Source organism: Homo sapiens, chromosome 14 (genome assembly GCF_000001405.40).
Source record: "Homo sapiens chromosome 14, GRCh38.p14 Primary Assembly".
Classification (NCBI taxonomy): Eukaryota; Metazoa; Chordata; class Mammalia; order Primates; family Hominidae; genus Homo; species Homo sapiens.
Window position 1 is genome coordinate 70884070 of NC_000014.9, and position 15785 is coordinate 70899854.

General features: G+C 42.7%; 2 annotated features.

Moving 5' to 3' along the window:
• Positions 3235-3544: an enhancer, noted in NCBI's record as "active region_8668". NCBI's record gives its function as "activates an Ori minimal core promoter by ATAC-STARR-seq in GM12878 lymphoblastoid cells {active_cell/tissue: GM12878}" and the evidence as "EXISTENCE:reporter gene assay evidence [ECO:0000049][PMID:35858748]".
• Positions 10029-10188: an enhancer, noted in NCBI's record as "active region_8669". NCBI's record gives its function as "activates an Ori minimal core promoter by ATAC-STARR-seq in GM12878 lymphoblastoid cells {active_cell/tissue: GM12878}" and the evidence as "EXISTENCE:reporter gene assay evidence [ECO:0000049][PMID:35858748]".

The window sequence follows — 15785 nt, forward strand, 5'->3', positions numbered from 1 at the left end:
CTAAAAATACAAAAATTAGCTGGGCTTGGTGCCGTGCACCTGTAGTCCCAGCTATTCGGGAGGCTGGGGCAGGAGAATTGCTTGAACCCAGGAGGCAGTGAGCCGAGATTGTGCCACTGCACTCCAGCCTGGCGACAGAGTGACACTCTGTCTCAAAAAAGAAAAAAGAAAAAAAAAATCAGATGCTCTCTGTTCTCAGAGACCTTATAGTGTAAAAGGGGAGAAAAAATATGTATACAATTAACTACGGCAAAATGTAGAAAACTGTTAGGTGTCACTAGATACAGTGCCACAGTAGATCAATGAAAGGAAGAGACCATTTCCAGCTGGGAAGGTTAGGGCCATTTTTTGTAAAGAAGATGGATTTTATGCTAGATCTTGGATGATCCTGAACTAGCACAGAGGAAATGAGCATTCCTGGCAGAGAAGAGCAGGAGAAAAGGCCGAGCAGAAAATCACAGAGAAAGGATGGGAAACAATTGGCTGGAAAATAAGGTTGGAACTTGAAAGGGTCAGTGAGGCCAGATAGTAATAGGATATAATTCCAGGTCGAGATCTTAGTCTGTGGGCAGTAGGTTGGGTTTTGAGTCAGGTATGAGCTGAGCAATAGAATGTGGTTTTGAAAGAAAGGAAGAGTATTCAAGACAGAGCACAGCAGGAGCAGATAGAAGAACCCAGGTGGCTGGTTTCTCTGACACAGGCAGGAAACATTCTTCTGCAATGGTGAGCCAGGCTGGATGATAGGGGAGACTCTACTTATGAGGCAGGAGGGTCTAGAATGAGGGACAGTTACCCAGAGTCTGGGAGCATCAAGCCACTCCTTCATGAGTCAGGCCCAGCAAGCTTGCTTATGAGCAGTGAGATTAGAAAACCCACGGGCAGAACCATGTGGACCGACAAGAAATAGGTGAGCGCCATATGTTTCCAGGGGCCAGACAGGTGAGCATCTGAGCAAAGACAGAAGCCAAAGCGGTGCAAACCTGGAAGGACAGGAGCAAGGCAGCTCAGGAGCTGACTGGGCAGTAGTATCGAAGGCCCAGATACAGTGTCCAGGCAAAGGGCCAAGAGCCCAGTCAAGGATGACAGCTGTATTGCGGAGATAAAGCGAAGAAAGCACAGGTTTCAGAGTCAAACAGACTCAGGTTTGAATCCAAGACTATCTTATCTGCTGTGTAAACTTGGGCAAGCCACTTAACCTCTCTGAGGCTTCTGTTTCCTTGGCTAAAAAGGAACATAATAATGTCTACCTCAAAGAGTTGTTATAAGGAGTATAAATAATATATGAAGAGTGCCTGGCACTTGGAGCACTCAATAAATGAGAGCTATTGTTATTATCAATATCACCCTCATTATTTATATTGAACTATAGAGATTGCTGTGGCTCAGGCTGAGAAATAAAGCAAGTGAGAGGAGTCTTTGCCAAGAACAGAGAAACCACCAGGAGGGGGAACGGGCCTCTGCAGAATTGATCACAAAAGCTCTCTGGCTTATGTATTACTCATTTGTCACTGTTGATTTATACATTCATTCTTATACTCAGTAATGCCAACACCATTGTCACCATTGCCATCATTCCCTCCAACAAAAATAAGAAGAACCTTAGATTTCTGTTAAAACAGTTCAACAGGCTGTGTTTTGCCCCTGGCACATCTCTTCATCTTTTCTGTGGATTGAGCTGCCATTGGTATTCAGGGATACCACCTGCCCCGAGTTGCTGACAACCATCTCCATGGTTTCTGGCCAGATCTCATTAGCTAAGTGAGGTCAAGCCCAGTGAGGTTAAATACCGACAAGGGAGAGGGTCGGGGGATACACAGATGGTTACAGGCATTGGGATGGAATGGCATGGCTGACCCAGCCTTGTGTTAGGTAGAAAACCAAGGTCACAACCTTTTGCAGTCTCTGAGGAGCTGCGTGACAACATATTTAATCAGAGGATGCCAGCCACAGTGATCCTGCAAGTTTCCAACTGATACAGTTTACCTGCTCCCTCTACATTCAATTGATGCTATTACTGCCCAATCCAATAATAAGCAACAATTTATTAAGCCCTTACTGTTTGCCAGGCTAACGACAGGCCAAAATGCAGGGCTAAAGCACTTTACATACTGTCCCATTTAATCCTCACCACAACTCTATAAAGTCAGTACTATTACCTGCTCCATTTTACCGATTAATAGAAGTTCAGAGAGGTTAAGTAACTTGTCTAAGTCCGCATAGCTAGTAAAACTGTAGAGCCAGCTTGGGAACATGGGTTTTGCTGATTCCAGATCTCCAGCTCTGCATTAAAATGCTAACTGGTGCTTCTCACACTTTAATGTGTATATAAGTCACCAGGCGATTTGTTAAAATGAAGGTTTTGATTCAGTAGATCCAGATGGGACCTGAGATGCTGCATTTCTTAGGCCACATGTATGCTGTCGGGCCGTGGGTTATAATTTGAATCACAAGAGACTTGTCTGATAGATTTGGTTCACAGTGGTTGGCAGGTTTCTCTTTGAAGGAGGTTGGGTTTTGGTCTTAGGGTTAGGCTAAGAGGCTTTAAAACCATTCAGGAAGTGTGGATTTTAGTTCTATGCTGCATACTAAATCATCATAAATTTATCCCCTTAAAACAACTCCCCATTCATTACTTTACAGGTTTTCCCCCAGAACTGGGAAGGGTGTGACTCCACTGATCTCCTCACAGGGCTAAATCAAGATGTCAGCTGGGCAGTGTTCTTATCTGGAGCTCAAGGGCCTTGTGGAAGCTCATTCTGGTTGTCACAGATTCAGTTTCTTGCGGTTGGGGGACTGAGGTCCCTGTTTCCTGGCTGGCTGTCAGCTGGGGGCCACTCTCAGTTCCTAGAAACTGCCGCATTTCTTACCACTTGGTCCTTTTATCTTCATAGTCAGCAATAGAGAATCTCCCCTTTGTTGAATTCTTCTCATGCTTCAAACCTCTTTGATTTTTTTCTGTCTTTGACCTCCAGACTCAGAGTTAAAGGGCTCGTGCTATTAGATCAAGCCCACCCAGACAATCTCCCTATCTTGGGACCTTAATTACATCTGCAAAATCCCTTCACAGCAGAATCTAGGTTGCTGTTTGATTGAGTAAGTGGGAGAAGGCTCACAGATCCCAGAGGCAGGAAACCTTAGGGGCTTAGAATTCTGCCTACCACAAAGTGTTTTGGTTTTCCTGGATGAGCTGCATTGTTGATTGATCAATGTTTTTAGAGTCATCGAAATTGAGACTATATAAGCTTTCTCATTTCTGCTTTCATTTCTACTCTCTTGCTGTAAGCCTCTCCTTTGGTATGAAATTACCAACAATGATTTCAAAATAAAAATGGACTGTCAACTTCCAGCAAATTGAGCTTAGCCCTTTTTCTCATTTATTGTATAAACTGAAAGTGTAAAACAGGAATTGATACATAGATCATTTGGGGTTTTTCACTGACTCATTAGCAATGTCCAGGAATAAGTCTCCAGATGCAGAGATGTTTATAGAAGGCAGTACTTCTTACTCAAGGAACTCTAAGTGCTCACGGATGATGTGAGCCAACAGACAGTGCCTGCACTTTGAAGAAGGAGGGTTTGTGATATCTTGACGTCAAAGATCTGACTGAAATCTTTGGAATCAAGCCCATCTTTTCTGATTTCTAGCCTATTTTCCTTCCAATGGCACTGTCCTAAGGTTGTACAGCTTAGAAAATGTTAACCCAGTATTGTTTTCTTTACTTGCATGTGAGAGAAGAGAAGTCAAAGTCAAAAGCAGGCAGCTGGAAACCTCCAGGGGAAGGGATTCCCAGGGGTCCTTTATATTCCTTTCTCCCCAAGCAAAGCAGAGAGAGAAGCAGCACACATACCCTGTGGATTCTGGGTTTGGAAAGCATAGTTGTGTTGTTCATCTGGGCTGCTATAACAAAATACTATACACTGAATGGCTCATAAACCACAGAAATGTATTTCTCACAGTTCTGGTGGCTTGGAAGTCCAAAATCAAGGTGCCAGCAGATTTTGTGTCTGGTGAGAGCCTGTTACCTGGTTCATAGATGGCTGTCTTCACATGGCAGAAGGGACAAAGGACCTCTCTGGGATCTCTTTTAAAAGGGTGCTAATCCCATACATGAGGGCTACATCTCATCGCCTCCCAAAAGTCTCACCTCCAAATACCATCATGAGGAGAATTAGGTTTCAACATATAAATCTGGGGAGGACAGACATTCAGTCTATTGCAGGGGCCAACAACAGCCCCTCATCAAGAGGTGGCGCTACGGAGGACAATATAGCTGGCCCTCCATATCCACAGGTTCTGTATATACAGACTCAACCAACTGAGGGTGAAAAACACTAAAAAAATAATAATAATACACAATAAAAATAAAAATAATACAGTGTAACACATATTTACATAGCATTTACATTGTATTAGATATTATAAGTAATCTAAAGATGATTTAAACTATGGGAGGATGTGCATAGGTTACATACAAGTACTACATCATTTTATATTAGGGACTTAAGCATCCCCCAGATTTTGGTATCCTGGAGTCCTGGAAGCAATTTCTCCCCACCCCCCACAACTAGGGATGAAGGATGACTGTACTAATGATTCTGTTTCTTTGCAATTCTCCTTAGTACCTCCAAAGCTCTAGCAAGATCATCACACAGGAAACAACATCATTTTCTTAGCCCACTCACAGCACAGAGAACAATGAAGTAATGGCTGTAGACAAATCCAAGTGTCTGTTGCAACCTCAGGGTGAGGAGAGAAAATTGGTAGTGGTGTTGCTTCCTTTAGAGCTTAAAAGGCACAGCTGAGGTGACTACCCTTCACTCCATTTTTGCTAGCATATAATAAGCTCTGCTTTGCATTTTTGCTCCCATGGCATCATTTTTGAAATATGAATCATAAAAGCAGTGCATTTCTGCTATGCCTGCTGAGACTTGCTTTATCACCCTCCTATTTCAGCGTTAATAAAATGATGCTGTCATTCCAGCTGGGAGGTATTTTGATTTTTCCAGACAGAGAGCTGGCTGATCACATTGTGAGTGTGTGTGTGTGTGCATACTTGTGTGCATGTGCCTCCCTTCTGGGGCTGAGAAGGAAATTGTCTTACCTTAATAATAGATAAATGTATTTTGATGGTAGCTGATTACTAAGTTGAGACTTTCTGTAAAATCTTCTAGCATCATGGTAATTTACTAACAGACAAAGAAAATCCCTCAATAAAGGCATCATTAGCAAAAATCCTGTGCCACTAGCTTCTAAATAGATGCGTAAAGGTAGGGTAGTAGAGACCAGGAGTAAAATAAGAAGGTTGGAGTAAATGACCTCTAAGGGCCACTTTTATTTAAAGAAAATTCCAAGCATAACATTGGAAGACCTAGAGATGATGCTAAATGCCTGAAAAGGGAGAATATAAATTTAGGAAGGTAGTAAAAATTTTCTCAATGATAAAGGAACTTATGACTATGGGTATTTGCACGTGTATGTGTCTGCTGTGTCTTTAATATTGAGGGGAATTCTTTTTCTTAAATCTGAGAATGATGGCTTAGTTGATGGCAAAATGGAAAGGATGCGGGGACCAGCCAGGAGCCCAGGAGCAAGGCAGGCGTTTCCAGAAGATCTTGGCAGAAAGAGGCAGACCAAAGAAGCAGACTGGCCAGCCAGTGCCAGGTAGGGTGTGAGATTAACTACAGGTGGGTGGAGCACAGCCCACGCACTACAGAGGTCTGGGCAGTCATGAAATCCAAAGGGGCTGCTCAGGATAGTGGGTAGCAGGGACTGCACCTTCGAGGGTGAGGTTCAGAGGCAGGATTTGGGTTTCTTTTTTTTTTTTAAAGGATTAGCAAGAGAAAGCGCACAATCTAGAACAAATGAGATATCAACAAGAGTCACTGAAAAGGGACCTACGGACAGGCTGTTAGGGACTTGATCTTCAGGAATAAGACTGGCTACTAGAATCAAAGAAAAGGTTTGTGTAGGTCCAGTAGCAAGGCTGATTTGATGCTATCATGCTGAGAAACTCATACTCTGCTTTTCATTTTTGCGTTTTTAGTACCTCTAAAGCTTTTTACATTCTCCCCAACTATAGAGATACTCTAGGGCCTAAGTTGATCCTAGCCGGGCTAATCACCAAATCACAGAATTTGGCAGATGATTTCAAGAAGTTTAAAATGAGTCCCGTCCTCAAAGTGTTTATAATCTATTTGAGAAGAAAAGGTCAGCACACATGAGACAGAAATATGTCTACTGTGTCCATTTACTGTGTTATGTACAAGTCATAGGTATTAAGAAAAATAAAAATTAGTAAGTGCTGGAGAGGTCAAGGAAGGCTTCACCGAAGAGGGATGATTTGAGGGTTTAAATTTTTTCTGAGACAGGGTTTCACTCCATCGCCCAAGCTGTAATGCAGTGGTGTAATCACGGTTCACTGCAGCCTTGACCTCTCAAGATCAGTTGATCCTCCCGCCTCAGCCTCCTGGGTAGCCCCAGCTGGGATTGCAGATGCACACCACCATGCCCAGTTCATTTTTTATATTTTTTGTAGAGACAGGGTTTTGCCATGTTGCCCAGGCTGGTCTCGAACTCCTGAGCCCAAGGGATCTGCCCACCTGAACCTCTCAAAATGTTGGGATTACAGGCATTAGCCGCTGCACCTGGCCTGGCTTGAAGTTTTTTAAGTGAAGAAAAGCAGAATTGGGGCCCTGGGGGTGGGAGATGTTCATGGGGGTGGAGAGAAGAGAGTCAGAAATATCCTGAGATATTTTTCTCATCATTTTTACCCCAACAGGAATAGTTGAGCCTCTCAGTTCTGCAGGGGAAGCTGGTAGTGGAGCCACTAGTGAGCACTTATAAAGTAGATGATAAAGAAAGGAAGTGGAGTTTGCTTGATAAGAGAAGAACATGATTAGAATGGTTGTGTTGGTAGCTCCTGGACTCTTTCTCTGCGGCTATTTCAGTCCCCTAGCTAATCTGGCCCTGACTTATAGTAGTGCCAACTTCAAGCCTTCAGGGCATTTTATACAGCTTCCTGTCTATGCTTCCCACCCTTATCACTCCCTCCCCTTGTTTTCCTTCCATTTTTTTAAATGACTATTATTGAATCAAATTTTCCTATTAATTAAAACCCTTGGGATCTTGGAACCTTAGTCAACTTTCCCCTCGTATATGACATAATGATGTACATTGTGTTTCAATGGCTCTGGACACCATCGCTGATAGAATAGGTCACCTGTTTAGCGTAGTCAGGATGAATGTTGCCATCAAGATGACTGCTCTATATTGAAGAGTCTGAGTCAACTCAGCATATCCAACTATCTTCGTGACTTTTTTTTTTAAAAGAGTTTTAATGTATTCCTTTAGTACTGGCAGTTGCTTTTCCCAGTCTGCTGCTGCTGAAGAAATTCCTAATGGTTAATGTCAGATCCCAGGATACTGGCCTATAATGCTGAGAAAGGAAATAGTGTCAGAGAATCTTGGTTTTTAGCTGCTGTTTTACTCTGCAGGAGCAGAGAGAAATAGGAGCAGGGGTAATTTCTTTCCTTTAGCAGCTGCTGAAGTAGACCTGATATTTGGGTTGGAAAAGTATATCAACTCACCTCAATTTAGAGAAATTATTTTTTAACCTTAAGAAATTAACGTATGTATTGCATCACTGAGGAGGCTCTTCTGTGGGCTTGTAGCAGGAAAAATCTAGACACTCTATGGGGCTATGCTACAGACATGGTGGCCCATGCAAGGAACTGGCAGCTGTGGGAGACAATGACAATGATTGACACTTGCCTGGCAATTTACAGCATACTGTTTCAAACCTGATTTAATTCTCTCAGTAAGCCTGAGATAAAGGGGTCATTTTATGCATTCCACAGATGAGGAAATAGACTTGCTTTCTTAAGCAACAGGTAGTGAGTTACAATCCAGAAATGAACACAGTCTCTCTGAATCCCAATCCTACACCCTTCCCAGTAAACAGGTTCTATTCCACTGTATGGCATTCAGTTGTGAGACGTTTCACACAAGAATTCGTCATTAACAAAAGAATTATATTTGATGGTGATAATTTAGAATCATAAGTCAAGAGTCTCTCATTTTCTTGTATTGAAGTGCATTTTTTTTTTTTTTTGAGATGGAGTCTTGCTCTGTTGCCCAGGCTGGAGTGCAGTGGCACGATCTCGGCTCACTGCAACCTCCACCTCCCAGGTTCAAGTGATACTTTTGCCTCAGCTCCCCCTCAGAACTGGTAGCTGGGATTACAGGCATGCACCACCAAGCCTGGCTGATTTTTGTATGTTCAGTAGAGATGGGGATTTGCCATGTTGGCCAGGCTGGTCTTGAACTCCTGATCTCAGGGGATCCACCTGCCTCGGCCTCCGAAAGTGCTTAGATTACAGGTGAGAGCCACCGCGCCTGGCCTGAAGTGCATTTTTTGAGCAGAAAGAATAGGTCAAATTGCAGCAAGCTATCTGGGGAATCACACACATCAGTTATATCTGTGCAGTAGCACTAAAAGACCATGGCTGGTGGAGATAATAATAGTTTTTGTGATTATAAGTTATTGCCTTGCTTTCCTCCCTGGAAAATACTGGGTTTCACCAAAGTTTGAATCTGAGTTTTCCTATGACAGTGTGCCTGCTTGTGTGAATATCATCCATTTTGAGTATCTCCAAAAGACATCAGTGGAGAATGTGGCTCATCGTGCAGCCTTCCTGATAGATCTGACTATGGTAGTGCACATACTACATTTAAGCCCTGCTGTGTATCAAAGCTGGGTACTCAACCCTAACACATACCCTTCACTTATAATGAAACTTCTAATGGACTCTTGCTTATAGGGAAAGCTTGTATAACCAACTCTCAATTTTTATGTGTATGTAAGGTCAAAACTGCAGTGTTCTGTTAATGGTGATACCACTACAATGTCTGTAGATATAGGCAATAGAAAACTGAAGCACTCTTATGACACAAATACAGTGTAAACATTCTTGAAAAACTGGGAATTTGCTGCAGCATCACTCCTAGCCACTCCCCAGAAATTTGGAGGTTGGACAACCTAGTGTGATAGTAGAAACACTTGAAATGTTTGGGAGTCATTTTTACACAAACTTGTGCTGTTGCTTTTTTTTAAGGTTAAAAAAGGCATGTTTTGATGCAAGAACACAGGATATGAGTTCGCACTAAATAAAGATCTACATCTACACAATAGGTTTCAATGACGGGGAGGAGAAGAGATTTTTATCTTCCATGAGATACTCAGCAGTATCCGGAGACCTTCTTGATTTTCCCAACTTAGAGTGTTAAAGCTATTGGCATCTAGTGGGTAGAGGCTAGAGATGCTGTTGCTGTTAAACATCCTACAATGCCCAGCCTTTATCCCTGCAGTAAAGAATTATTCACCCCAAAATGTTAACAGGGCTGAGGTTAACGAAGCCCTAATCTATACTGACACTAAAATGTTAAGCACTTTGGTAGAAATTGTTATCTGATGCAGCTGAGCAAACTGCAATGGGGTTCTACAGAAGGGAAAAAAAGAGGGTTACTATAACCAGATATCCCCATGTCCTCAGATTCTGGGAGACAGTTTTGTTGTTGTTGTTGTTGTGGTTGTGGTGGTGGTTTTTGAGACGGAGTCTCGCTCTGTTGCTCAGGCTGGAGTGCAGTGGTGCGATTTCGGCTCACTGCAACCTCTGCCTCCCGTGTTCAAGCAATTCTCCTGTCTCCGCCTCCCGAGTAGCTGGAATTACAGGCATATGCCACTACGCCCGGCTAATTTTTGTATTTTTAGTAGAGATGGGGTTTCACCATGTTGGCCAGGCTGGTCTCAAACTCCTGACCTCAGGCGATCCCGCCCACCTCGGCCTCCCATAGTGCTGAGATGACAGGCATGAGCCTCTGCACCCAACCTGGGAGACAGTTTTGTTCAAGTCCCCCAGCCCGTGGTAGAAAGTTACTTACAATATTTCCTGTAGGTTTTTGGGTGACTTTGTTTTAGTTGTGGGCTGAGAGACTCTGCTTGATTCACTGCTACTGCCTGTTCCAAACTGCTGCTTTCAGCCCCTGCCTCTGCTGCCCTCCCCCCGACTCCCTGGACCATTCTGTTTCACTTTGGATATGATTTTTCTTTCTTCCTCCCTGAAAAATCCCTCTTACATATGCTTATTGTGGGTTGCAAACCATTGCTGATAGGTCAGGGTTGTTTTTTAATTTCTCAAGTCTTCCTCAGCAAAGGAAATTTCCTGCTGCCCTTGAACTTGTGTAGGATTTAGCTGGCCCATGGAGTGGCCAGAGTTCTCTACCCTCTTATATCTCAATCTTCTTTTTTAGATCCTTAGGCTATCTCTCTGAGCAGCCAGCTAAAACCCCACAAATTCCTATTTCTTTCTCATACAAACTAATTTAGCCTTCTTTGTTTCGCTCTCTTCTTGCTCGGCCCTGGGTGGAGTGGGAGTGGGATTACTGAAATAGGAACATCAAAGCATTTTTCTAACAAACAACAGCAATCAGAAAAACAACTTATATCCCAGGAGATAAATTATGCCACTCTTCTAGAAGGCAAAATGTAAGTACTTGTTTTACATATAATTTATTTTCTTCCCAAGACACTGGGGAGAAACAATGTAGTGTAGCTGTTGTGAGCAGTGGGCACTGGAGTTAGACCACTTGGGGTTTGAGTCTTGGTTCCATCACCTGTTATCCCCATGACCATGGGCAAGTTACTTGACCTATCTGTTGCCCCTTAGTTCCCTCACTATTACAATGGGGAAAATAGAAGTACCTACCTTAGAGAACTATTGTGAGAATTTTTAAAAGGCAATGATGTGAAGTGCCTTCATTCAGTGGCTGACACATGGTGGCTGCTCGACAGTGAGTACTAAAGAGTGGGATGTGTAAGCAGACTGCCCACATAGAGAAAGAGCATGCAATGAGCACATTCCAACACACAGGGGTGAGTGTATTAAGCTACAGGGTTCAAAGAAGACAAAGAGCTTCCTCTCTTAAAAAAAAATCCCAGGCTCCTGGGAAAGACAGAAAAGTAAACAAATAACTATAATGCAATGTGACAGTGCTATAGCAGAGGTCTGTTTGTACTTGTCAAAAGATTTCTACTCAGCAGTGACCATGACATCCTGTTGTTGTGGCGTTAGTTTCTATCCCACTAGAGAGTCACAATGCATATTGCATTCTCCTTGCAGTGAAAGGTAGTTAAGTAGAGTGTTTCCGAGTGTTTGGATTTGGCCAGTCCCACTGCCAAAATCCACAGCTTAAGGAACAGAGATGTGTCTCTGTTTGTCTTTGCTGGTGGGCTCCCGTATCCTGTATAGTCTTAAAGGGGGCTTCATTCCCCATGGTGGGCTTCTTCTTGATTAAGACTCTGGGGCTTGCCGGGTAAGGTGGCTCACGCCTGTAATCCCAGCACTTTGGGAGGCCGACACGGGCAGATCGCTTGAGGCCAGGAGTTCGAGACCAGCCTGGCTAACGTGGCGAAACCCTGCCTCTACTAAAAATACAAAAATTAGCCAGGCATGGTGATGCATGCCTGTAATTCCAGCTACTCGGGAGGCTGAGCCAGGAGAATCTCTTGAACCTGGGAGGTGGAGGTTGCAGTGAGCTGAGACTGCGCCACTGCCTTCCAGCCTCGGTGAAAGAGCAAGACTGCCTCCAGCAACAACAAAAGACTCTGGGGCTCAGCAGAGTCTTAGAATGCAACCAAGGACAAACTACCTCCCCCAATCCTATAGGACCTGAGTAAGCACGTTTCCAAAAAGCAATGATTATTAAAATGCAACAAGCATTATTCTTTGTGTGATTTCAAGACCTTTTTACCCTATCCTTTCCCCAACCTCTAAAATATATCATGGCCTACAGTAACTTACAGAAACTCGGTGAGTAACTGTTTTGCTAATTAAAGTCGATGAATACTTAGATTTTTAAAACAACTGTAGAGAATGTTGGCAAAACCTTGAGTGTCACAAAGCAAGAAGCAGCCATCATCATGGAACAGTGTAAAATGAAAGTCAATCAAATGAGAAAAATATCAAAGTTGAATTTATTCCTTACACCTGACCTGGATAAAGTCCAAGTAGATATTAATATTTAAATTCATAAAATGATATCATCATGGTATTAGAAGAAACTAAAAGAGAGTTATTCACCTTAAAGTGGAGAAGGCATTTCTAATGATGACATTAAATCCAGAATTATACAAGAAAAGATTAATACATTCAATCTTTCAACATCAAAATTTTCTGCATAGAAAAAGCCATAAACATAGCCAAAAAATGACAAATTGCAAAAATATGCCTAGCTCTATTATAGACCAAAGACCAACTTCCCTAACATATAATGAGCTTCTACAAATAAGAAAGCAAAGACCTACAATGCAATAGAAAAATGGACAAAGACACCAACAGTGACTAGATAAAGAAAATGTGCTATGTATACACCATGGAATACTACACAGCCACGAAAAAGAATGAAATCATGTCCTTTTAAGCAACATGGATACAGCTGCCAACTAATGCAGAAACAGAACACCAAATACCACATATTCTCACTTATAAGTGGGAGCTAAACATTGAGTACACATGGACATAAAGACAAGAACTATAGACACTGGGGACTATAAGGGGGGAAGGAAGGAAGAGGGGCAAGTGTTGCAAAACTATTGGGTACTATGCTCACTACCTGGGTGACAGGCTCAATCATATACCAAACTGCAGTAACAGGAAATATATTCTTGTAACAAACCTGCACATGTACCCCCTGAATCTGAAATAAGAGTTAAAATTTAAAAAAAGAAAAGAAAAATGGGCAGAGAATATGAACAGGCAAGACCTGAGGAAAAAAAGTACACATGACTCCTAGGCACATGCAAGTGGCTCAGCCTCACTCACAATAGAGAAATTCAAATTAAAGCTACATGGAGACATCGTTTTTCAATTATCAAATTACCAAAGATCCAAAAATCTGACAACATGCTTTGTTGATGACGGTGTTCTGAAACAGGCATTCAACATCTATTCTTCCTCTCTGATTCCTGACACAGTCCAGTTTTATGTAGGCATTTATCCCTCCCAGCATATCCCCTAAGCCTCAGTTCACATTTGGGACTGACTGATCTAAGGGTAATTCCATTCCCCTGGGCAGTAATTGGTTCAGGAACCCAGGCTAGAATGAGTCAGTGTATGGCAGTGCCCTGAGGACAGGGATTAACTCAAGAATAGGGATGTAACCAAAAGTATGTTGGAAGTTCCTGGGAGGGAAATTTCCTTGCTCTTAGGTGAACTTCTAATTGATGGCATCGCTATGTGAAACCTGTAATGGCTATAGCCATTTTGCCTCCATGAGAGAAGCCACCCAAGGCCAAAGCCAACACACATAGGTCATCACAGGGCATTGCAGAGAGAGAGATCCAGAGCCACGAAATTCAGCTGCTCCTGAAGCCTGCTTGCCTCCTGGACTTCCAGTTGTATGAAGTGATCATTTTCCTTATTGTCGATGTGAGTTTGTATAGAATTTTCTGTTACTTGAAACTGCAGGCTAGTAGCCATGTAGCACAGAGAATGTTTCCAAGAATCTAAGTGAAACACATGGGTAAGTCAGAAGGAAAAAATGTCTCTGAAGTTTCTCAGACTTAGCAAACTGCCAAAGCACATGGCATGTGTTGATATAAAAACTTTCCAAATCAGGCTCTGAACTCCAATTAGAATATAGTACAGAAGCAGAGGGAGGAAGGGCTGGAGAGACCAGGACAAAAGTTATCACACATTTACACTGGTTGTGATTGGGCAGTGGGCCTATTAACAAAGCTTTCTCTCTCTTTCCTATATTTTCTCAGATAAAAATACCATGAATGTGTTACTTTTAGGATGAAAAACTAAATACAAAAGACCAATTGGATGTAAAATGGTGGAGAGGCTGGCCCAAGCAAACTCTCAATAAGTTGTCAGGTTTTCAAAATACAAGTCCAAAGGAAGAGTGGATAGATAAATAAATACATGCTCATAAAACCTCTGCATAAATTAGAGATTAGGAAATTTAAGAATTCCTAGTAAACTCGAGGCTATTAGGACTGAGGGATTTAAAACAAAACCCAAAAAGCAAATTTAGAATACAGTTGTCATGTTTAAAGCAGAGCTCATTTTTCTGTTCTTCAGACCATGATTTTTCACAATATTTTTGAGGTGTCATATTTCTAATCACCCCTCATAAGGAATTTGTTTTCATTTCCTAGTCATTCCACAGGCTGAGGGTCACTACATAATTCAGGTTGGGAGGCTGTCTCATCATCTTCTGGATCAAAAAGAATCCTGAAGTGGATGATGGGATTTTTCCCCCTTATTTATTTTCTGACAATCCTGAGAAGTAGAGGGAAGATGAGGATTCCATAAAGGAGACTCAAGTCTAGGGTAATTAGAGAGGAGGAAACCAGGAAGAAGGAGCAGTGACCTGGAAGCAAAGAGATTAAATAAGCCGGGGACTGAAAAATGCCTGCTGGATATGGCAACTAGGAAATCATTGATGATGTGGGCAGAAGCAGGGATGACAGCGAAGGTCAAGGCAGGTGAAAGACACTGTTTCACTCTTAAGAAAGTTGGCTGTGAGGGAGAGGAGGAAGTAGCCCTGAGGATAAGAGTGCCTGTTTCTGGGCTGGAGGAAAGTGCCAGCAGAAAGGAAAAGCTGGTGGTACCTGAGGGACCAAGGTTAACAAACCCAGTAGGGTTTAGGTGGTGGGGTGGAGAGCACAGGTGAAGCCATTTTCTTAGGCAGAACAACACCTTAAAAGGAAAAAAGAAAACAAAGGATGACTGTACATATGAATAAATTTATAAGTTGGGGGGGCAGGAAACTGAGGAATTACTGTCTGATACCCTCTATGTTTTCTGTGGGAGAGAGGGTGGTGTGGGTTGTATGAAAGACGTTGGTGAGATTTTAAAAGTCATTAATAAAGACACAAGAAGTGCTGAGTGAGAACTGGAGAACTGCCAGGAGGACTCCAGGTAACAGTTAGGGTCACAACCTGGAAAGTGCTAGCCTGCATGCTGGTGGCAGAGAAAGCAAATCCATCCAGTGCCATGGTTTTGGCCGATGGCAAGGTTGGGGAGAAAAGAGTGAAAAATCACTAGCTGTGGAATGATTGAATTGCAAAACTATGAGATCCACCATGGATGAGGAAATGAGGGAGGAGAAGAGGTGGTGGTGGTGATGGTAGGAAGTTCAGAGGAAAAAAAGAGGAAAGAAGTGTTTAAAAAGGAAAGGCCAAGGACAGTGCTTCTCAATACCAGTTTGCAGAAGAATAAAGAAGCTTGTTAAAAATGCACGTCTCCAGGCTCCATGTGAGAGATTTCAATTTAGCAAGTCTTGGGTACAAGATAGGAATCGGCTTTCTCCACCAGGTTATTACTTTTTAAAAATTGGTAACACAGGCCACGAGCAGTGGCTCAGGCCTGTAATCCCAGTACTTTGGGAGGCCAAGGTGGCCAGATCATTTGAGGTCAGGAGTTTGAGACCAGGCTGGCCAACATGGTGAAACCCTGATTCTACTAAAATTAGCTGGGTGTGGTGGTGCCTGCCTGTAACCCCAGCTACTCGAGAGGCTGAGGCACAAGAATGGCTTGAACCCAGGAGGCGGAGATTGAGGGGTCTGACACTGCACTCCAGCCTGGGTGACAGGGTGAGACTGTGTCTCAAAAGAAAAAAAAAAAAGGATAACATGTGCATAATGTAAAATTCATTAAGAGAAAAGATATACAATCAAAAGTAAGGTCTCTCACCCCTGTGGCAATTCCTGCTGCCATTT